This window comes from Homo sapiens, chromosome 17 (assembly GCF_000001405.40).
Source record: "Homo sapiens chromosome 17, GRCh38.p14 Primary Assembly".
Lineage (NCBI taxonomy): Eukaryota > Metazoa > Chordata > Mammalia > Primates > Hominidae > Homo > Homo sapiens.
Genome location: NC_000017.11, coordinates 47,351,167 through 47,375,429, shown reverse-complemented (window position 1 = coordinate 47,375,429; position 24,263 = coordinate 47,351,167). Strand labels below are relative to the sequence as shown.

General features: G+C 38.1%; 1 protein-coding gene and 1 pseudogene across 8 annotated transcripts in view, besides 1 other annotated feature; both read right to left on the bottom strand.

The window, feature by feature from the left end:
- The window catches only part of EFCAB13 (EF-hand calcium binding domain 13), a 117,358-nt gene that overhangs the window by 65,883 nt on the left and 27,212 nt on the right, over window positions 1-24,263 (bottom strand). For 3 of the 8 annotated variants that reach the window (NM_152347.5, NM_001426586.1, NM_001426585.1), the window contains 3 exons: window positions 13,909-14,052; window positions 4,922-4,993; window positions 464-958 (listed from right to left, as the gene is read on the bottom strand). In NM_152347.5, the coding sequence (NP_689560.3) occupies window positions 464-958; window positions 4,922-4,993; window positions 13,909-14,052 (711 nt within the window). Of the gene's footprint in view, window positions 1-463; window positions 959-4,921; window positions 4,994-13,658; window positions 14,053-24,263 lie in introns of those variants that run through there. The other 5 variants (NM_001426587.1, NM_001195192.2, NM_001426588.1 and 2 more) reach the window with 2 other exon arrangements.
- On the bottom strand, window positions 6,022-7,888 carry LOC100421523 (UDP-N-acetylglucosamine pyrophosphorylase 1 pseudogene; annotated as a pseudogene).
- Window positions 12,913-13,207: a silencer, noted in NCBI's record as "tiled region #1659; K562 Repressive DNase unmatched - State 12:CtcfO". NCBI's record gives its function as "represses a minimal TATA promoter and a strong SV40 promoter by Sharpr-MPRA in K562 cells {active_cell/tissue: K562}" and the evidence as "EXISTENCE:reporter gene assay evidence [ECO:0000049][PMID:27701403]".

Genomic DNA, 24,263 nt, shown 5'->3' with positions numbered 1-24,263 from the left:
CCCAGCTACATGAGAGGCTGAGGAGGTGGGAGGATCACTTGAACACAAAAGGTCGAGGCTGCAGTGAGCTAGGATCACGCCACTACACTCCAGCCTGGTTGACAGAGTGAGATTCTGACTCAAAAAATAAAAAATAGACATACTATTCAGTGGCATTAATCACATTTACAAAGTTGTACCACCATCACTACTGTACATTTCCAGAATTTTTGCATAGGCATGGTGGTTCACGCCTATAATCCCAGCACTTTGGGAGGCCAATGCAGGAGGATTGCTTGAGGCCAGGGGTTTGAGACCAGCCTGGGTAACCCTGTCTCTATAAATAATTTAAAAATTAAAAAAAAAAGAAGTGGTGGTTACCCAGGGTGTTAACAATTGAAATGCTTACAACTATCTAATAATTGATTCATTCTGTTCATTTCTGTGATGACTGAAGAACTCAAGAACCTAGATTTTTACTTACCCAGAGTACTAATTGCAGTTTTTTCCGTAGACGAAACCTGTTTTTGGAGACTGGAATGCTTTCTTACAGCTGGCTTCTGAAGTTTTGGGATACTAGAAATATCACTTTTATCCAGAGACTTACTGAGGCTTGTACTACTCTTCAAGCTTTGTGGTTTAGACTTTGAGTCATGAATTTCACCCTTCTCTGAATGTTTTTTAAAGTTTATGCCATTCTTTGAATATGGTTCTTGGACTCCTACATTACTGCTGCCAACCCCACCCAGAAATTTTCTTATTTGCCAAGTATTTTTTGGTCTTTTAGATTCAAGGTCATCATTCTCCATAATTTTGCTATAATATTGGTTGCTTTTTTTATTTAACTTTTTGGATATTGAAGGTTCAGGGAGTTTGGAAGACAAACTATTTTTCTTCTTATATTTTAGATAGCATCCTGCTACACTTGATAACTTTCTGTCTGAAGTAATTTCATTCAAAGGTGATCCTTCTGTAATTGCTAAATAAGAGAAATATACAATTATTTCATTTACCTGTATAATTTGCAATACATTTCAAAAATAACAACTAAGTCCTCATGAAAACTATTCAAGAAATTATCAGTTTCTTAAACATATAAAACAAACCAAAAAAATTAAAGAACTGACAGTCAAAAGATTGGACTATTAACTAGGTCAAATGTAATGTGCTGCTTTAATATATTTACATATTCCCATCCAAAGCTATTTAAAGTTACAGTAAAACTAAAATGATAGCCTAATGAAGTATATGGTTCTCATTCCCCACTCCTTCCCAATTGACAAAGATAATAGATTAATAAGCTAATACAGATAGAAATTCCTTACTTATAAAAGGCAGAACTATGAGGAAAGGGGAGATTTTATTTATAAAATTAGAACTTAAGTAATTACTCTCCTAAATATTCTTGGTATTTGTGGAGGAAAAAATAACTTCATATATAAAACAACATCTTTAGAAAATTATTAACACAATGCCCCAAACTGAGACTTCATTTACAAAATTTATCTGATGTTTCAGAATCTTATCTTACATTTTAATAACACATTTTAAAGTATTTCAAATGTTATAATATTTGATCCTCAAAACAACTCTATGAGACTGTCACGCAGCAGCAATATAATCTCAACTATGAATAAATTTTGCCTAGAGGAAATAAAAAAGTTTCTTATCTTAGACTCTATGAGAATTAACAATTGAAAATAATTAAATGAAAATATTTTAATATTAAAGTCTGAAAATACTTAAAGATGGTGCTATATATGTATCTCTAAGTGCACTATGTATCAGATAAATAGGTTAGTGAGCAGGTAAAAATATAATCTTTGACACTTCTGATTTAGGCTTTTGGACCACACCAAACAGCCTGCCCAGAATCTCTGATTCTCACTGATTAAGGGCTTTCCCAGTCCTTCAAATGCAGAGACATCAACATAAGGCAACAAGAAACATGAAAAATCAAGGAGACATAATACTACCAAAAGAGCACAATAATCTCCTGATAGCTGACCCCAAAGAAATGAAGATACAGAAACTTCCTGACAGAATTCAAACTAATTGTCTAGAGAAAGTTCAGGGAATAAAATTAATGACATACAGAGAAAAAAATTCAGTGAAATCAGGAAAACAATAAATGACCAAAAACAGAATTTTACAGAGACACTGAAATTACACAAAAGAAAATAAATAAACAAAAATCAAGAGCTGAAAAGTGTAATGAAAGAAATGCAAAATACAATAGAGAACATCAACAACATAACTGATCAAGCACAAGAATGAATCTGTGAACCTGACAACAAGTTATTTGAAAATATATAGTCTGCGGTGAATAAAATAAAAAGAATGAAAAATAATGGGGAAAGCTTACAGGATTTATGGGACAGCATCCAAAGAGAAAATAGTCAAGTTATAAGAGTTTATGAAGGAGAAGAGAAAGACAAAAGAGTAGAAAACTTACATAAAGAAGAACAGAAAACAATCCAAATTTGGGCAAATATATAAATATCCAGGTACAGGAAGGCCAAATGCCTCTAATCAGATGAATTCAAACAAGACTACACCAAGACATATTATAATCAAACTGTTAAATATCAAGAACAAGAGGGAGATTCTGAAAATAGCAAAAGTAAATAACATATACGTTCCAATAAGGACAGCAAATTTCTCAGCAGACACCTTATGGGTCCATAGAGAATGGACTATATATTCAGAGTACTGAAGGAAATAAACTGCCAACCAATAATACTGTACCTAGAAAAACTGTCCTTCAGAAATGAAGATAAAGACTTTCCCAGACAAAAGTTGAAAGAGTTCATCCCCTATATTTGTCTTACATGAAATTTCAAAAAGTGTTCTTCAAGCCAAAAGAAAAGGATGCTGTTTAGTAACACAAAAAATAAATGTGTAAAACTCACTGGTAAAAGTAAGTACACAGTCAAAGTCAGAATACACTAATACTATAATGGTGGTGTGCACTTCACTTACATAGTATGAAGGTTAAAAATAATAAAAGCTACAATGATTTGTTAAGGGAAACAATATAAAAATCTGTAAATTGTGACATCAAAAATTATAAATGCAGAAGGAGAGATGAGGTAAAAGCATAGTTTGTTTATGCAAGCAAAGCTAACTTGCTATCAGCTTAAAATTGCCTGTCATAACTACAAGATATTTTGTAAGCTTCAGAGTAGCCACAAATCAAAAACCTACAGTAAATACACAAAAGATAAAAAAGTAAAAAAAAATCAACAGAGAAAAATCAGTCACAAAAGAAGAGAAAAATAAGGAAACAAAGGATCTATGAAACAAGCAGAAAACAATTAACAAAATGGCAGTAGTAAAATCCTTCCATATCAATAACTACCTTGAATGTAAATGAATTAAAATCTCCAAAGAAAAGACATAAAGTGCCATGTGGAACTGTGAATCAATTAAATGTCTTTCCTTTATAAATTACCCAGTCTCGGGTATGTCTTTATTAGCAGCATGAGAAAAGACTAATACAGCAACCAAAACAGTATGTATAAAAATAGACACAGAGGCCGGGCACAGGGGCTCACACCTGTAATCCCAGCACTTTGGGAGGCTGAGGCAGGTGGATCACCTGAGGTGAGAAGTTCAAGACCAGCCTGACCAATATGTTGAAACCCCATCCCTACTAAAAATACAAATATTAGCCGGGCATGGTCATGCATGCCTGTAATCCCAGCTACTCAAGAGGCTGAGGCAGGAGAATCGCTTGAACCCAGGACGCAGAGGTTGCAGTGAGCTGAGATCACGCCACTGCACTCCAGCCTGGGTGACAGAGCGTGACTCTGTCTCAAAAAAAATGGACACAGAGAGCAATGGAACAGAATAAAGAACCCAGAAATAAAGTCACATATTTACACCCAACTGATCAACTGTTGGTTTACACCCAACAAAGCAACAAAGCCAACAAAGCAGTCAAGAATATACACTGAGGAAAGGATACCCTCTTCAATAAATGGTGCTGGGAAAAGTGGATAACCATATGCAGAAGAATGAAACTAAACCCCTATCTCTCATCATATACAAAAAACAACTCAAGCTGGATTAAAGACTTAAACATAAGACCTGAAACTAAAAAACTGTTTGATGATAACATAGGGAGAAGTCTACAGGACATTGGTCTAGGCAAAGATTTTATGACTAAGATCTCAAAAGCACCAGCAACAAAAACAAACATAGACAAATGAGACTATATTAAACTAAAAAGCTTCTGCACAGCCAAAGAAATAACAGATTGAAGAGACAACATCTTGAATGGGAGAAAATATTTGCAAACTATTCATCTGAGAAGGGATTAATATCCAGAATTTATAAGGAATTCAAGGAATTCAAACAACAGTAAAAAAAAAAAAAAAAAAAAACAACCATTAAAAACTGGGCAAAGAGCCAGACGCGGTGGCTCACGCTTGTAATCTCAGCACTCTGGGAGGCTGAGGCAGGTGGATCACCTGAGGTCAGGAGTTCAAGACCAGCCTGACCAACATGGTGAACCCTCTCTCTACTAAAAATACAAAACTAGCTGGGCATGGTGGCATATGCCTGTAATCCCAGCTACTTGGGAGGCTGAGGCAGGAGAATCACTTGAGCCCAGGAGGCAGAGGTTGCAGTGAGCCAAGATCGCACCACTGCACTCCAGCCTGGGCAACAAGAGCAAAACTCCGCCTCAAAAAAAAAAAAAAAAAAAACAAACAACAACAACAACAAAAAACTGGGCAAAGAATATGCATAAACATTTCTAAAAAGAGGACATGTAAATAGCATTTTGAGTATTATATTTTATCTCCTTGATTTAAGAGGGTAAATTATTCAGAGAAGGTTTTCAAAACCCTTTATAAAATAAAACTTATAAATTAAGATTTAATGTAAAGACTTTAATTATAAACAAAACTTGTCATAGCAACAAGAGCTCACTTACAAACATCCTCATACTGTTCCTGTAGCTCATTCAAAGTAAATATAATATCCCCAATATCCACCATGTGGTTACCTGTAATAGAATAAGTTCAAATACTGTATTTACTTTTGAACATAGATATATCTGCCATCCTATTCTAATATGAAAACAACACAGAATGTGTGGCAAGTAGGAACAAAGAGCCAACTATTACAAAGTCTTGAATAAAATCTGAAATCATGAATTAATAACTCAGTACACGCCCAACATAAGAGTAAGACCATGGTCTTTTCTCCTTAATAAAAGAGTTTTTCATCAAAAGAAATAGTCATGTTTTAAGCTCTTATGCTAATCAGGATATTTTTTCATTTTACATGTTTTTTAGAGTTTATTACAGGTATTTATTTACTCTTTTGACTTCATTTCTAGATTGTGAACTCCTCAAGAACAGAGGATGTGTTTTTCCTTTGTTTCCCCAATGCCTCGCAAAGTACCTACTTCTTATCACTGAAAATTATTTTTGGCTGAACAAAATATACAGAAGGTGATTTAAAAAACAATGTAATGTCTACATAGTGAATAGCAAACAACGATTTACTTTGTACCTTCTCTGTGTCCAGCACTCTTATAACTTCCCATTATTCCTGCCCCTGCCCGCCTAAGACCATTTTACTTCTTGGATAATGCATGATTGAGGATGTGTTCAGATGCAGTCACCTTGAATAATGTCATTTCAATTGTGCACAGAGGTAGAAAATGCTTTGCCCAATAGTTCTTGCCTCCATATATTTGATTTTGCTTGCCATCCAAGATGAAAAAGACTGAAAATTTACTTATCTATAATAGTGATGGTTTTTTCTTCAGTCTATTCATAAGAAATCAACTGTTCAATAATATGCATAAGTGAAAACTGAGAGGAAGAAGCAAATTTTTATTGTTTTCCAGAAACAGGAAGATATGTTTATTTTACTGTCCAATTATTTCCTTTAAAAAGTTGAATGTTTGATAAAATAAACTTTTGGTACCATAGAAACCTTTCAACATCTACAATGACATATTATTACTATGCACAACTTCAAAAACAAATGCCTCCAGCTCCAAGTAAAGTGATGTTGAACATCCTGACTATAGTTCGGCTGTAGGAAATTTCTTGTATTGCCAATGGTTTCCTCGCCTTGGAAAAAAATACACAATTGAAAAATATAAATAAGACCTTCAATGAGTTGGGAATAATAAAAATGATATCTGAAGTTCAGTCATCTAGATCTTGGGAAGTTTGCAGTAGCTCTAAGGGTTCAACAAGCAAAATAAAACCCTGTGAATATTTAAACTTCAGTCATCCAGGAGGTCCTGTAGGTTCACAGTCGGTCTATCAAAAACAAAAGCTATTCCTGTTGTGGTAGAACTTGGTATCAGGTTCATATACCATTTTTCACCAGCTCATGAACTCCATTCTCATCGATGATTAAAGGTGCATGGAATTCTATATCTGCCACATAACTTTCTATTCCTTCCTCAGCATTAGAGATAAGAGGAGAGATTTCACACTGGATTGGTACATCATTGGCATCCTTTAAGTGGGAAATTGCTGGAAGATGATAGCCATTTTCATCTATAAAGTGACCCCTGCATTGAGAACCCAGCAATAATGAAAGTGTGCCTTGCGGTAGTAGAGTTGTCTTTCCCATTCTGACTGTCAGCATTCTTTAGTGTGGAAAAGTCATCTTCCCATAATATTTCATAAACCACAGACTTCTTTGTGAACTAGAAGATTTTTCTATACTTATTATGGAAAAGACAAATTTTTCCATACTTATTCCACTGGGTTTATCTGGCTTAATTAAGTGCTGTTGGGTATCCACATAAGGAATCTTCTTTTGAGCCACATGGTGCTACAACTGAGGTTCATAAACATTGACAACATCTCTCAGAAATGGTACAGTGAATAAATGGTTGGCAATATTCCCCACATTGAACAGCAGTCATCCATCTGAGCTTCATTTCTGAGCTGTTGCCAGGGAAATATCACTATATTCTACCACCTGGTAAAATCCATCCACTCGGCAAACCACTCCAACCAGTTCTGTAGGGTTTGTTTTCTCTACCACCTTTGCTCCACAGTCTGCTCCTTTCTGAATGCAAAATCCAATGAACCGTGGGTCTGCCACTTTTACTAATACACTGTCAACACAATAGACACGAATGTTCCAAATGCCTCTTTGCTCCATATCCTCCACAATATGCCAGGCTGCAAGAGCCTGACAAAGACCACCATTCTCATCTGGAGCCATAGAAACTTTGTTCTTCTCTTCCAAAATAATTTGCCCATCAAAACTCATGGCAGGGAGCATTCCTTACTGAAAAAAAGATTATATTTTCTATTTTTTTTAAACCAAAGTACTTGTGCTTGGTGAAGAACTCCTTTGTAGATTCTGCTGTTCTGCCACTGATCATTATATGGAATAATGCATTTGTTGCCATAATATTTTTCAGCTAACTGTTGTAGCTTCAGGATATGCTCTGCTTGAATCTGAAAAAGTGTCTTATGGGATGGCAAACCAACATCATACATCCCCTTTGGATATGCAACGAGTCTAGTCCCCTGCCCACCAGCTAGAACAACTGTGACTTTGTTCTCAGAAATCTGGAAAACTTTGCTTTCCCAGGCCTGGAGCTGATCTAGCTTCCCTGCAGCACTGCCCAGTACTTCTCGAGGGACAGGTTCCATTCACGCATCCACCTTTTCTTGATGAGAGGACTGGTTAAATCCTTCAATGGCCTTTTGGAAAAAGAAGTTCAGTTCCTGAAAGTCGATGGCCTGGAGCTCTGCATAAAGTTCTACCTGTCAGGCTTCTTCAAGCTCATTCCAGAAACGTAGTGGGTGTTCTTGCTCAGCTTTGGACAACCTGAGTTTAAGGTCATTAGTGTTCATAATGCTCTGATAGCCAAGCTTTGTGAAAATAGGGGTGCAATGCATGTATCTACAAAGCTTCCTCAGCGGGACCACAGCTCCACCCGGCTCCTTCTCTGCCGGCGTCCTACGTCCCCTCCAAATATATACCCTCATCCTGGGCCATGGCGGCGGGGTGGGGCAAGCCAGGACCAGGGCCAAGGGGAGTGGCCCAGCCATCCTGCCCCTCTTGCCGCCACGAGAAGCAAATATGTAAATTAAAGAATAGTATCATTTTGGTGTTGGGTCCACCTGATTCACTCTGATTCTCTGAAAATTGGTAAACTATGTATTTCAGGTGCAGGCCTTTAAATCACTGCAAAGCAAGTACTATGTGTTTGAACCAATCAAAGAAATGCTAGACAAAATTGGTGCTAAATTGCCTTCTGATTAGAGATTGCTTCCTACATTTTGGTTTCTTATTTCCTTGGTATTTATCCTCATTCTGGTTTTGATTATAGTTCTAACACTTCCCATAACCTCCCCAGTAACTGGCACTTGTGGTAGATTGATTCCATGTCCCATGTTCTTAGATCATGGCTTAAGTCCTAAGACAACTCAAAGCTTCAACCCTCAAGCTCTTGAATCTGATCACTGAAAAGTATTCTGTTAGACCATACATGTATTAATCCAGTGGAAAAGGCCATCTTGCTTTTACCTGCTCTTCATTTAGAAAACTCCTTTCTCTGAACAGAAGTCCAATGTCAACTAATAAGAGTATGGTAGTCAACCATGTTCACAGATTCATTAGCTCTTGCTCAAATTTATTCCTTGCATCTATGCAATAATAAACACCTATTATGAAACTCCCAAACAAATATTACCTACTTAAATAGTCCCTAGTGGCCAAAGACGCGTTCGAGAATCTGAAATGACTATCTTGGTCCCTATCTAACTTAGCAAAACCTTAAAGAATGATTCCTGGTTGAAACTAAGGCAATCAATATGGTCATAGGTATCACTTATTTCCTAAAGGGAGCTCAAAACAGCCTCCTACTCTAAGGTATATAATTCTGGAGGAAATTCATCCTGGAAAATGCAGCTACCTACTGTGAGAGGAAAAAAATGATCCTAATTATTAAGGTCATATATGCAAGGCAACGTTACTCTGAAGGTGCTAAGTGACCATTAACACTACATTTCTGTAATCTTCAGGTAGCTCCACAATATTGAAAGCCTCCTCTAGCAAAAACTGCACTAGTCACAACTTCCCACCCAGTTCAATTTCCAGATCTCTAACCTCCATGAGAGAAAAAAAAAAAAAACTGCTATACCAATACAGTATTTCAGAAACCAAAATACCTGACCCTCTAAGAACTGCCATCAGCTGATTTTCCATATGGCACTTCTTGCCATATCTTAATAAAGCAAATCCTCCTTGGACTTTCCTGAAAATTTCAGGGGGCTAATTCCTTCTCCCTCATTGCAAACATCTATAAAGATGAACATATTATCTACCTATCATCTCCAACAATATACCAAATGCAAAAATAAGATGCTGGAACAGTACCTGCAGTGCTATGTCTTCTTTTAGCAGGACTGTGTTATATTATTCCTTACTGCAAAATTCTGCTACAGAAAAATTAACATCTCCTACCTGGGTGACCCAAAATTTTTGGCATCCTGGGGTTAATGTTTCCTTTAATATTAAAATAGCTCAGACCCCAGAGCATATACTAACATAAATCAATACCTTGACCAAAATTTGAGGATTCCTGAGTCACTTGTGCTCTTTTTATTTTTGCTTTGTTTCTCTATTCCCATGGACTCTTGATCTCACTCACATTATTACCTTCTACAGGTACAATCCTCTTTCTGCCCCAAGCAGATCGAACATAGAACCTATAGGTCTTTATCCTTGAACTCTCCCCACCAACAATACTAATACAAGTCTATTGTATATAACCAACTTTTACTGGTAATTTGCAATTGATGGGAGTAAGGGAGTTCTTAAGAAGCACAGCAAGCAACTACATACTATAGTCCTAAAGTTCTATGGTTACTCTATCCTCACTCACTCTTAGGTTCTATCCATCTTCTTCCTCCACTACTGAGCCACTACTATATTTCAAATTCCTGTTGCTTTCTTATGTACAGTACTTTATCTTATCTTTTTGCTCAATCTAGGTGTTTCTCAGTATGTTTTAACTCTCATAATCTAACATATCTATTAAGATTATTTTCCTGGTCAAAAGATAAGGACCTTCCTTATGAGGAATTTTGCCTCAAACTACAGCCAGCTTATTCATATGATAAAATGAAGAACATTTTGTTCTTTCTGATTGGAAGATGTGGCATGAGGAATCAGAATTATTCATTCATTCAACAAATATTTGTTGAGCGGTTAATATGTGCTATAAGCACCACGCTAGGTACTGAAGATACAATATTAAGCTAAAGCAGACATGATATCTGCTCACCTGATGCTCAGTCTTATTTGAAATATCAATGTCAATCAAACAAAAATACAAATTTCAATTGCGAATAGTGCTATAAGAGTGTATAACATGAGAATCTGACCTACTCAGAGAGGTCTGGGAAAACATCCCTGAGGAAAAGACAGTTGAGTTTGGATCTAAAGTGTAAGTAGGAATTACCTAAGGGGAGAAAAAGGTTCAAGGAAGAGAAATGAACACATGCAACAGCTATTTGGCAAGAAGGGGCATGGTATATAGTTGAAACTCTAAGAAGGCACAGAGAGCAAGGAAGAATATGGTCTCAGATAAAGCTGAAGATCTGGGCAAAAGCCAGAACCCACAAGGCCCTGTAAACCACACTAAAAGAGTTATTTATCCCAAGAGGTATTATTAGATTTTATATGAGGAGAATAACATGATCAGACCCGTATTTGAATGAAGATCATTATGGCTGCAGTATAAAGGAACATAAGAGTGGACAGGGGTATACTTGTTAGGATGAACTGCAATGGTCCTGAGGAAAGGTTATGTGAACTTGGACTAAGATAGGGAGATAAAGAGAAATAGATCACGTCTGTAATCCCAGCACTTTGGGAGGCCAAGGCAGGTGGATCAGAAGGTCAGGAGATCGAGACCATCCTGGCCAACATGGTGAAACCCTGTCTCTACTAAAAATACAAAAATTAGCTGGGCTTGGTGGCACGTGCCTGTAATCCCAGCTACTCGGAGGCTGAGGCAGGAGAACCACTTGAACCAGGGAGTCGGAGGTTGCAGTGAGCCGAGATCACACCACTGCACTACAGTCTGGCGACAGAGTGGAGTTAAAAAAAGAGAGAGAAATAGAAAGACTTAAGAGATATCTATCTTATATATAGAAAAAAGGAGAAAAGTTTTTAAAAAGATGTATCTAAGACTTTAAATAAGGGAACTATTGCATGAGGAATAGAGAAGTAGAGTTGCCAAGGATGACTCTCAGGTTTCTGCCTCACCCTTCTGTCTGTTCTAGGTGCCAAGCACTGTGATAAATGTTTATATTTAATTCCTATAACAATTCTATAAAATTAGTATCATTTGTCCAATATACCTCCCCAAATAAAGCAGGAGACCTGGAGACCCAGGCCAGAACTCCATAAGCCAAAAAGCAAGGTACTGCAGCTGTTTCATATATGATTTCTGTTGTTCCTGGTAGGGCATGCCCTAAAGGCTTAAGAATAGTCTTTAAAATCCCCATTTTACATTTTCATACCCCATCATATCCTTCCACTCATGCCTCACCCCAGAGCACACCATACCTGACTTCCTAAGAGAACTCCATGTGGCCTGATTCTATCTCCAGACCACATATCAGCAACCAAAAGCCCACTACAAAACCACCATTAATAAATGACAAAAACTAGTGGAAGCCCACTCAAAAAGATGTCATGTCTGATTATTTTTCTGCCATATTTACACAAACTGTTCCTTTGGCTTAAGATGTTTTTCTCACTCTTTGCTACCACCTTCAACTACTTAATTCATACTGATCCTTCAAGATTTAGCTCAGACATCAGCCCCTCTGATAATCTTTCCCTAAGGCTTCCAGTATGTATTAGCAGCCTATGTACACTCTATTATAGTATTTGCCATGGAGCATTTTAATTTTCGGTTTACTTGACTCTTTCCACACTTGAACGTGAGCTCCCTCAAAAAAAAAAAAAAAAGAAGTGTGTTTTATTCATCTTTGCATCACCTAGCACAGTTCCAGGCATAGTAGATATTAAATGACTGACTATCTGATTCATTAAGTGAATGAATCAGGCTGGGCCCAGTGGCTCATGCCTGTAATTCCAGCTACTCAGCAGGCTGAGGCAGGAGGATCACTTGCTTCCAGAAGTTTGAGACCAGCCTAGGAAACATAGCAAGACCTCATCTCTACAAAATAAAAATTAGCCTGGCATGATGGTGCACACCTATAGTCCTAGCTATTCAGGAAGATGAGGTGGGAGGATTATTGAGCCTAGGAGGTCAATATTACAGCAAGCTATGATCACAACACCGCACTACAGCCTGGGCAACAGAGTGAGACACTGTCTCTAAAAATAATAAAATAATTGTAGGGTCCAGCCCCACAGGGTCAGTGGGTTTTCTCCCCGTGTGCGGAGACGAGAGAGTGTAGAAATAAAGACACAAGACAAAGAGATAAAAGAAAAGACAGCTGGGCCCGGGGTACCACTACCACCAAGATGCGGAGACTGGTAGTGGCCCCGAATGCCAGGTTGCGCTGATATTTATTGGATACAAAACAAAGGGGCAGGGTAAGGAGTGTGAGCCATCTCCATTGATAGGTAAGGTCACATGGGTTACGTGTCCACTGGACAGGGGGCCCTTCCCTGCCTGGCAGCCAAGGCAGAGAGAGACAGACAGACAGACAGACAGCTTACGCCATTATTTCTGCTTTTAGTACTTTCACTAATTTGCTACTGCTATCTAAAAGGCAGAGCCAGGTGTACAGGATGGAACATGAAGGCAGACTAGGAGTGTGACCACTGAAGCACAACACCACAGGGAGACGGTTAGGCCTCCGGATAACTGCGGGCAGGCCTGACATCAGTCAGGCCCTCCGTCAGGCCCTCCACAAGAGGTGGAGGAGTAGAGTCTTCTCTAAACTCCCCCGGGGAAAGGGAGACTGCCTTTCCCAGTCTGCTAAGTAGCGGGTGTTTTTCCTTGACACTGACGCTACCGCTAGACCACGGTCTGCTTGGCAACAGACATCTTCCCAGACGCTGGCATTACCGGTAGACCAAGGAGCCCTCTGGTGGCCCTGTCCAGGCATAACAGAAGGCTCACACTCCTGTCTTCTGGTCATTTCTCACTATGTCCCCTCAGCTCCTATCTCTGTATGGCCTGATTTTTCCTAGGTTATGATTGTAGAGCGAGGATTATTATAATATTGAAATAAAGAGTAATTGCTACAAACTAATGATTAATTATATTCATATATAATCATATCAAAGATCTATATCTAGTATAACTATACTTATTTTACATATTTTATTATACTGGAACAGCTCGTGCCCTCAGTCTCTTGCCTCGGCACCTGGTTGGCTTGCCGCCCACAATAATAAAACAAATGAATCAATCAATTAATCACTAATTATGATAGGACATCCTCTGGTTACAAGTAAACATGTAATACAAAACACCTGCTAAATATTTTTATCATGTTTAAAGCAATCCACATTGTGCAGAGAGCAACTGAAGGGCATAGCAAAATTGTTTAATCAAAGCTACATAATAAAATTGAGAATTCAAGAAATTTAGGTCTTCTAACTTGTGGAGTCAATGCTCTTGATACTACAAGAAACTACTTCTCCACAAAGACCAGAAATGACTTGGAAAAGAGATGTAAGGCTGAATTTTTTAAAATTCATTTTATTCTTTAACCAAACATACCAAACTATAACAATTTTAGAAACCTCTCATTTAATTTTTCTAGACTATTTCTTACTATAGACACCAGTAAACAGTGTCAATGGCAAAAGGTAAGAATCAAGAGAAAAAAGGAGAAGCAAAGGACAGATCACAAAATTGATATCCGGAAAAAAATGTATAAATATATGCACATATATATGGACATATATATCTCAATGCAAATAACTCACTGTCAATATAGGTATGTTTTGTCACTTCTTCTAAAATTTCACGGTTTATAGGGATACCCATGCTATCCAAAACAGCAAACACGTCATCAGTTGAAACTCGACCACCTTTTATCCTACAGAAAATCTTCAAGGCATCCTGGAATGCTGCAAAAAAGAAATTATTATACCATGAGAATCAACAGCTTTTCTTGGAAAAGCAGTTGATTTTGTGTCAATAGCCTACTAAGGGAAAATAACTTTGTATAAGCACAGGGTTTTATAAATATTTATCTACAAGCAAACCACTGATATAAAATAACTTTATAATAGTGGTTAAAACATTGGTCTTTTATTTCTCCATAGGAATTTCATATTCTTATGTTAACAATCCTTAGCACATAAAATGAATTGAAAAGAACCTAGTCAGAAGGAAATATTCAGCATGGCCCTGACTAGCGAACCAAATCTGGGGGTCCCCAAGACATCTACTTTTGAATGTCAGAGTCTATAATTTTAAAACAATTTAACTAAAATAAATTAAACACTAAATCACTTTATCATTTTCTAAAATATTTAGAGTCACATCAGAGAGCTCAGTATATTTTTAATTTTAAAAAGAAAATATTCAGATAAATTATAATTTTCCACAAAAAAAACTTCCTTAAAAATTAAACAGATTGCTGGGAAAACTGGCTAGCCATTTGTAGAAAGCTGAAACTGGATCCCTTCCTTACACCTTATATAAAAATTAATTCAAGATGGATTAAAGACTTAAACGTTAGACCTAAAACCATAAAAACCCTAGAAGAAAACCTAGGCATTACCATTCAGGACATAGGCATGGGCGAGGACTTCATGTCTAAAACACCAAAAGCAATGGCAACAAAAGCCAAAATTGACAAATAGGATCTAATTAAACTAAAGAGCTTCTGCACAGCAAAAGAAACTACCATCAGAGTGAACAGGCAACTACAAAATGGGAGAAAATTTTCGCAACCTATTCATCTGACAAAGGGCTAATATCCAGAATCTACAATGAACTCAAACAAATTTACAAGAAAAAAATAAACAACCCCATCAAAAAGTGGGCAAAGGATATGAACAGACACTTCTCAAAAGAAGACATTTATGCAGCCAAAAGACACATGAAAAAATGCTCATAATCACTGGCCATCAGAGAAATGCAAATCAAAACCACAATGAGATACCATCTCACACCAGTTAGAATGGCGATCATTAAAAAGTCAGGAAACAACAGGTGCTGGAGAGGATGTGGAGAAATAGGAACACTTTTACACTGTTGGTGGGACTGTAAACTAGTTCAATCATTGTGGAAGTCAGTGTGGCAATTCCTCAGGGATCTAGAACTAGAAATACCATTTGACCCAGCCATCCCATTTCTGGGTATATACCCAAAGGACTATAAATCATGCTGCTATAAAGACACATGCACATGTTTGTTTATTGCGGCACTATTCACAATAGCAAAGACCTGGAACCAACCCAAATGTCCAACAATGATAGACTGGATTAAGAAAATGTGGCACATATACACCCTGGAATACTATGCAGCCATAAAAAATGATGAGTTCATGTCCTTTGTAGGGACATGGATGAAATTGGAAATCATCATTCTCAGTAAACTATCGCAAGGACAAAAAACCAAACACCGCATGTTCTCACTCATAGATGGGAATTGAACAATGAGAACACATGGACACAGGAAGGGGAACATCACACTCTGGGGACTGTTGTGGGGTGGGGGGAGGGGGGAGGGACAGCATTAGGAGATATACCTAATGCTAAATGACGAGTTAATGGGTGCAGCACACCAGCATGGCACATGTATACATATGTAACTAACCTGCACATTGTACACATGTACCCTAAAACTTAAAGTATAATAATAATAAAAAAAAAATTGAAAAAAAAATTAAACAGATTGAAAGCCGTGTCCAACTGCTAAATTTATATCCTCCCTGACCACTACACCCCTTAATTAGCCTTGACAAAAAAAAAAAAAAACACAATTCCCATTATCAATTTCAGACGGAAAATCATTTATAGTCAGACTAGATTTTCTTGAAATTCATCATATAATAAACTAATGATTACTAAGTTCTTTGATAAGCACAGTCAAGGAGGAAAAACTGGGCATTATTTGTTCATTCGATTAGTCTTTTTTTTAATTAATTAATTTTCTTTTTTAAAGACAGGGTATCTCTCTGTAGCCCAGGCTGGAATGCAATCACACGATCTCGGCTTACTGCAACCTCTGCCTCCCCAGCTCAAGCGATTCTCCCACCTCAGCCTGTTGAGTAGCTGGGACTACAGACACGTACCACTATGCCCCGCTAATTTCTTTGTATTTTTGTAGAGATGGATTTTTGCCATGTTGCCCAGGCTGGTCTCGAACTCCTGGGCTTAAGTGATCCACCCGCCTTGGCCTCCCAAAGTGCTGGGACTACAGGCATGAGCCACCATGCCTGGTCTCAACTAGTCATTATTGATCAAGTGAACAAAAATAGCAGAGGAAGGGACCTCCAGAAACCCTCTGCTCCATAAAAGCAATGAGAACTCTGGCAAAAATTATCAGAACCAACTTGTTTCAAAACTCTGAAAATAAGCCAAAGGCTTGCAGCTATCCGAGGAATTTCTTCAAGAAAAATGACTGAGTCTCAATAAGAACAGTGAGGTTTGTGGCATTTAAACTTGCCCTATTCCCATCTACCCATCTCCAGGTTCCCTGGAGCATTGAAAACCAGTACTCCACAATCATGATGAAAATGTATGTGTGTACTATTGAGGTGAGAAAGGCCTCTTTAAGCACAACTCAAAACTCAGAAGACATAAAGAAAAAATAATAAATTTTGTGATAAAATGTAACAGTCCCATTCCAAAAACCAAAGACACCAGTTCAAAATTAAAAGAGAAACAACAGACTAGAAGAAAACATTTGTAACATACATAACAAAGGATTAATAGCCAGAATATGAAAACTCCTACAAATCAATGAGATGAACAACCCAGTTTTTTAAATGAAAAGTATATGTGAAAAGGCAATTCATAGAAAAAATATATAAATGACCAGTAATTATATTAAAAGATTACTAATTTCATAATTGAGAAATATAATTAAACAAGATAGTTCCTGCAAAACAAGGTGGCAAAATTTCTTTTTCTCTTAAGAAAAAGATATTTGCATTTTTCCCTTTTATTTTTCTCTAGGGAGTCTCTTGATTTCTAACTGTATGCTTGATCTTTTTACTAGTTTCTATGAGACCTAGGTCCTTTGCTTCCACTCTGCCTAGTAATTGATAACTCATTTTGCCTTGACAAAACATAAATTATATGTATGTATGTGCATATAAAAAGAATTCTCAGGTCAGTATTAAACTGCAGCAATCTTGGGTTAAAGAAGGTCTTTCACATCTTTATACACATATATTGCTTGGATATTTTATTACAACAATATATTCAAGAATTATGTGTGTTCTTTTAAAAGGAACAAAAGAAACCTGAGAGTTCTTGATTAGTCTCAGAACACTGTCCACAAACAGAAAATAAGGTCAAAATAGGAAACCAGGACTTGAAAAATCAAGGAATATAGGGAAGTAAATAAGCTATTCTAAGTTGTGATTCAAAAAGTGGTCTCTACACGCTGCTCTGTCTGTCCGAGTGAAAGTTGCAAGTTAGTCCTGCCTCCTATCCATCATTTTTCCCTACTGTCTGGAACTCAACTTACATTTTTTTCTGACTATAGATTTATATGTGTGTTTGGACTCCTAAGTACTGACCACAGATACATACATATAATTTATGTTTTGTAGCAGGGCACAGTGGCTCACGCCTGTAATCCCAGAACTTTGGGAGGCCGAGGCAGGTGGATCACCTGAGGTTAGGAGTTCGAGACCAGCCTGGCCAACATGGTGAAATCCCACTTCTATGAAAAATACAAAAATTAGCTGGGCGTGGTGGTGTGCGCTTGTAATCCCAGCTACTCAGGAGGCTGAGGCAGGAGAATTGCTTGAACCAGGGAGGCAGAGGTTGCAGTGAGCGAGATCGCGCCATTGCACTCCAGCCTGGAGTATAAAATAGTAATTTATGCTTTGTCAAGGCAAAATGAATTATCAAAACGTCAAAATAGGAAACCAGGACTTGAAAAATCAAGAAATACAGGAAAGTAAATAAGCTATTCTAAGTTGTGATTTAAAAAGTAGTCAGTTAGTAGACACTCACATCGTGAACTTTTGCTCCAAGAACTACTGCAGGAACATATCAGGAAAGCCAAGAGAATCCAAAGACCCCTTCAAGGAGATGGATGCCCTTGCAGGCTCTGTGGGACAGGCAAGTAACTGTGAGTCGGCTTGCTTTCTCAGTGGGGAGGCTTGTAGCCTGGGACAAGCTCTCATCCCTGCTCACCGCCTGCCTGGAAATAAACTCGGTGCTACAGGTGAAGCGCAGTGGGAGTGAAACCAGTCTTTCAGACTGTGGGCTGCGTGGAAGCTGGGTGAGGCCTATCGCTGCTGGCTTTCCCCCACTTCCCTGGCGACCTGTCAGGCAGCAGAGGCAGCCATAATCCTCCCAGGAACATAACTCCATTGGCCTGGGAACCACACCTTCACCCCGACAGCAGCTGCAGCAAGGCCCACCCAAACAGAGTTTGAGCTCAGACATGCCTAACCTGCCCCACCTGATGGTCTTTCTCTACCAATCCTGGTAGCAGAAGACAAAGAACATAATCTCTTGAGAGCTCTATGGCCCTGCCCACCACCTGACCCTAGGGCAAGCTTGTAATCTCCCTATACTACTGCAGCTGATGTGCTCTTGAAAGTGCCACCTCCTGGCTGGAGGCCAACCAGCACACTAAACAAAAATACAACCAAGGACCCTAATAGAGTCCACTTCACTCCCCTGCTACCTCCATTGGTGCAGGTGCTGGTATTCACGGCTGAGAGACCTGAAGATGGAATACATCACAGGACTCTTTGCAGACACTCTCCAGTACCAGCCTGGAGCCTGGTAGCTCCACTGGGTGGCTAGATCCAAAAGAGAAATAACAATTACTGCAGTTTGGCTCTCAGGAAGCCCCTTGTCCAGGAAGCCCTATGTCTCAGGAAGCCCCTAGGGGAAGGAGAAAAGCACCAAATCAAGGGAGCACCCTGAGGAACAAAAGAATCTGAACAGCAGCCCTTGAGTCCCAGAGCTTCCCTCTGATATAGTCTACCCAAATGAGAAGGAATCAGAAAAACAATTCTGGTAATATGACAAAACAACGTTCTTTTACATCTCCAGAAGATCACACTCAAAAGCTTAGCAGCAATGGATCCAAATCAAGATGAAATCTCTGAATTGCCAGAAAAATAATTCAGAAGGTCAATTATTAGGCTAATCAAGGAGGCACCAGAGAAAGGTGAAGTCTAACTTAAAAAAAAAAAGATACAGGATATGTATGGGAAAATCTCCAGTGAAATAACATAAATAAAAAACAATCATAACTTCTGGAAATGAAGGACACACTTAAAGAAACGCAAAATGTGCTGGAAAGTCTCAGTAATAGAATCAAATAAGTAGAAGAAAAAACTTCAGAGCATGAAGAAAAGGCTTTCTAATTAACCCGAGGCAACAAAAACAAAGAAGAAAGCATTTTTTAAAATGAATGCACCCAGCACTGCTGGGTGCAGTGGCTCATGCCAGTAATCCCAGCACTTTGGGAGGCCAAGGCAGGCGGATCATGAGGTCAAGCAATCGAGGCCATCCTGGCCAACCTGGTGAAACCCCGTCTCTACTAAAAATACAAAAATTAGCTGGGTTTGGTGGCGCGCGACTGTAGTCCCAGCTATTCGGGAGGCTGAGGTAGAAGAATCACTTGAACCTGGGAGGCAGAGGTTGCAGTAAGCCGAGATCGCATCACTGCACTCCAGCCTGGTGACAGAGCGAGACTCTGTCTCAAAAAAAAAAAAAAAAAAAAATGAACAAAGCCTCCAGGAAGTTTGGGATTACGTTAAATGACCAAGCCTAAGAATAATCGGTGTTTCCAAAGCAGAAGAGAAATCTGAAAGTTTGTTAAAACATATTTGAGGGAATAATCGAGAGAAACTTCCCCAGCCTTGTCAGAGATCTAGACATCCAAATACAAAAAGCTCAAAGAACACCTGAGAAATTCATCGCAAAAAGATCATTGCCTTGGCACATAGTCATCAGGTTATCTAAAGTCAAGATGAAGGACAGAATCTTAAGAGCTGTGTGGCAAAAGCATCAGGTAACCTATAAAGGAAAACCTATCAGATTAACAGCAGATTTCTCAGCAGAAACCCTACAAGCTAGAAAGGATTGGGTCCTATCTTTAGCCTCCTTAAACAAAACAATTATCAGCCAAGAATTTTGTATCCAGTGAAACTGAGCTTCATAAATGAAGGAAAAATACAGTCTTTTTCAAACAAATGCTGAGAGAATTTGCCATTACCAAACCAGCACTACTGACTGCTAAAAGAACTGCTAAAAGGAGCTCTAAATCTTGAAACAAATCCTCAAAATACACCAAAATAGAATCTCCTTAAAGCATAAATTTCACAGGACCTATAAAACAATAACACAAGAAAAAAACACAAGATATTCTGTCAACAAATAGCACAATGAATAGAATAGTACCTCACATCTCAACACTAACATTGAATGTAAATGATTTAAATGCTCCACTTAAAAGACAGAGAATGGCAGAATGGATAAGAATTCACCAACCAAGTATCTGCTGTCTTCAAGAGACTCACTTGACACTTAAGGACTCACTCACATAAACCTAAGGTAAAGGGGTGGAAAAAGATACACCATGCAAATGGACACCAAAAGCAAGCAGGAGTAGCTATTCTTGTATCAGACAAAACAAACTTAAAGCAATAGCAGTTTAAAAAGGCAAAGAGGGACATTATATAATAATAGGACTAGTCCAACAGGAAAATATCGTAATCCTAAACATATATGCACCTAACACTGGAGCTCCCAAATTTATAAAACAGTTACTACTAGACCTAAGAAATGAGACAGACAGCAACAGTAGTAGGGGGCTTCAATACTCAACTGACAGCATTAGACAGGTCATCAAGACAGAAAGTCAACAAAGAAACAATGGACTTAAACTATACTCTAAAAAAAATTGATCTAACAGAAATTTACAGAACATTCTACCCAATAAATGCAGACTATGAATTCTATTCATCAGCACATGGAACATCCTCCAAGATAGACCATATGGTAGGCCACAAAACAAGCCTCAACAAATTTAAGAAAATTAAAATTACAGCAAGTACTCTTGCTACAGTGAAATAAACTGGAAATCAACTCCAAAAGGAACCCTCAAAACTATGCAAATACAGGGAAATTAAATAATCTGCTCCTGAATAATCACTGGGTCAACAATGAAATCAAGATGGAAATTTAAAAAATCTTTGAACTGAACAATAATAGTGACACAACCTATCAAAACCTCTGGGATACAGCAAAAGCAGTATTAAGAGGAAAGTTAATAGCATAAAATGACTACATCAAAAAGTCTGAAAGAGCACAAATTGGCAATCTAAGGTCACACCTCAAGGTACTAGAGAAACAAGAACAAACCAAACCCAAACCCAGCAGAAGAAAAGAAATAACCAAGATCAGAGAAGAACTACATGAAACTGAAACAAGAAAAAAAATGTAAGTCAAAAACCAAGTAGATAAAAGAGAACCAGGAAAATCCTAATGCCATGGAGTCTATCAAAATGCCAAAAAGAAAAAGCAAGCCAAGCATCATATCTATATTGTTCACTGCTGCATATATAGGCATATTAATGTTTATTACATAAATGAGTAAATAAGTATTGAAGAGTTTTTATTGCCCTTTACTTGCTAATCCAGTTCTATAAAGACTATCACATTCACATATCCTTGATTCTAACAAAATAAAATCTGGGCTGGGTGCAGTGGCTCACACCTGTAATTCCAACACTTTGGGAGACCAAGGCAGGCGGATCACTTGAGGTCAGGAGTTCGACATCAGCCTGGCCAACATGGTAAAACCCCATCTCTACTAAAAATACAAAAATTTAGCCAGGCATGGTGGTGCATGCCTGTAGTACCAGTTACTTGGGAGGCTGAGGCAGGAGAATCCCTTGAACCCGGGAGGCAGAGGTTGCAGTGAGCCAAGATTGTGTCACTGCACTCCAGCCTGCATGACACAGCAAGACTCCATCTCAAAAAATAAAAAAAAATAATAAATAAATAAATAAATATACAATCTGATTCACTATAAAAGGAACATACCTCAAAATAATAAAGGCCATACATGACAAACCCACAGCCAACATCCTACTGAATGGGGAAATGTTTAAAGCATTCCTCCTAAGAACCAAAACAAAACAAGGATGCCTACTTTCACCACTCCTATTGAATATATTACTGGAAGCCCTAGCCAGAGCAATCAGGCAAGAGAAAAAAAAGTAACAGGCATCCAAGTTGGAAAAGAGGAAGTCAAATTATGTCTGTTTGTTGATGATATAATCTTATACTGAGAAAACCCTAAAGACTCCTCCCAAAAAACCCTGAGATTTGATAAACAAATTTGGTAATGTTTAAGTAGATAAAATCAACATACAAAAATCGGTGGCATTTCTATACACTAGTATCAAGCTGAGAACCAATCAAGAAGGCAATGCCATTTAGCTTAGCTACAAAAAACAAAGTACCTAGGAATACATTTAACCAAAGAGGTGAAAGATCTCTACAAGGAAAACTACAAAACAGTGATGAAATAAACTATAGAGAACACAAACAAATGGAAAAACATCCCATGCTCATGGATCAAAAACTTAATATCATTAAAATGACCATACTGCCCAAAGCAATCTACAGATTCAGTGCAATCTCCATCAAAATACCAATGTCATTTTTCACAGAAATAGAAAAAATAATCTTAAAATTTACATGGAACTAAAGGAGCCCAAATAGCCAATGTAATCCTAAACAAAAGAACAAAGCTGGAGACATCACATTACCTGACATCAAATTATACTATAATAGTAACCAAAACAGCATGGTACTGCTATAAAAGTAGAAACATAAATCAGTGGAACAGAAAACAGAACCCAGAAATGAAGCTTCATATCTATAGCCACCTGATCTTTGACAAAGTTGACAAAAACATACACTGGTGAAAGGACACTCTTTTCAATAAATGGTAAAGGGAAAATTGGATTGCCATTCACAGAAGAATGAAACTGGACCCCTATCTCCCACCATATACAAAATCAACTCAAGATGGATATAAACTTAAATGTAATACTTGAAGCTTTAAGAATACTAGATGAGGCCGGGCGTGGTGGCTCGCGCCTGTAATCCCAGCACTTTGGGAGGCCGAGGTGGGAGGATCATGAGGTCAGGAGATCGAGACCATCCTGGCTAACACGGTGAAACCCCGTCTCTACTAAAAATACAAAAAAATTAGCCAGGCGTGGTGGCGGGCACCTGTAGTCCCAGCTACATGGGAGGCTGAGGCAGGAGAATGGTGTGAACCCAGGAGGCAGAGCTTGCAGTGAGCCAAGATCGCACCACTGCACTCCAGCCTGGACAACAGAGCGAGACTCCATCTAAAAAAAAAAAAAAAAAAAAACTACATGAAAACCCAAGGAAAACTCTTACTGACATTGGTCTAGGCAAAGAATTCATGACTAAGAACTCGAAAGCACAAGCAACAACAACAAAAAAAGACAAATGAGACAACTAAACTAAAAAGCTTCTGCACAGCAAAAGAAATAATCAACAGAATGAACAGACAACTTGAAGAATAGGAGAAAATATTTGCAAACTATGCATCCAACAAGGACTGATATCCAGAATGTACCAAGAACTCAAACAGATCAAAGACAACAAAAGCAACAAATAATCCTGTTAAAAAGTGGGCAAATGACATGAATAGACATTTTTCAAAAGAAGATATATAAATGGCCAAACGAGCATTATGAAAAAATGGAAAGCAGTGTGGAGATTTCTCAAAGAACTAAAAATAGAACTACTGTATGATCCAACAATTCCACTACTAGGTATATATGCCCAAAGGAAAAGAAACCATTATCTCAAAAAGATACCTACACTCATATGTTTATCACAGCACAATCCACAATAGCAAAGACATAAAATCAACCTAAGTGTCCATCAATGGATGACTGGATAAAGAAAACGTGGCGCGCGCGCGCGCGCGCGCGCGCACACACACACACACACACACACACAGTGGAATACTAGTCAGCCACAGAAAAGAATGAAATAACATATTTTACAGCAACATGGATGAAACTATTAACTATCTGACTTTCTGTTTCTGACTTGTTTCACTTAAGATAATG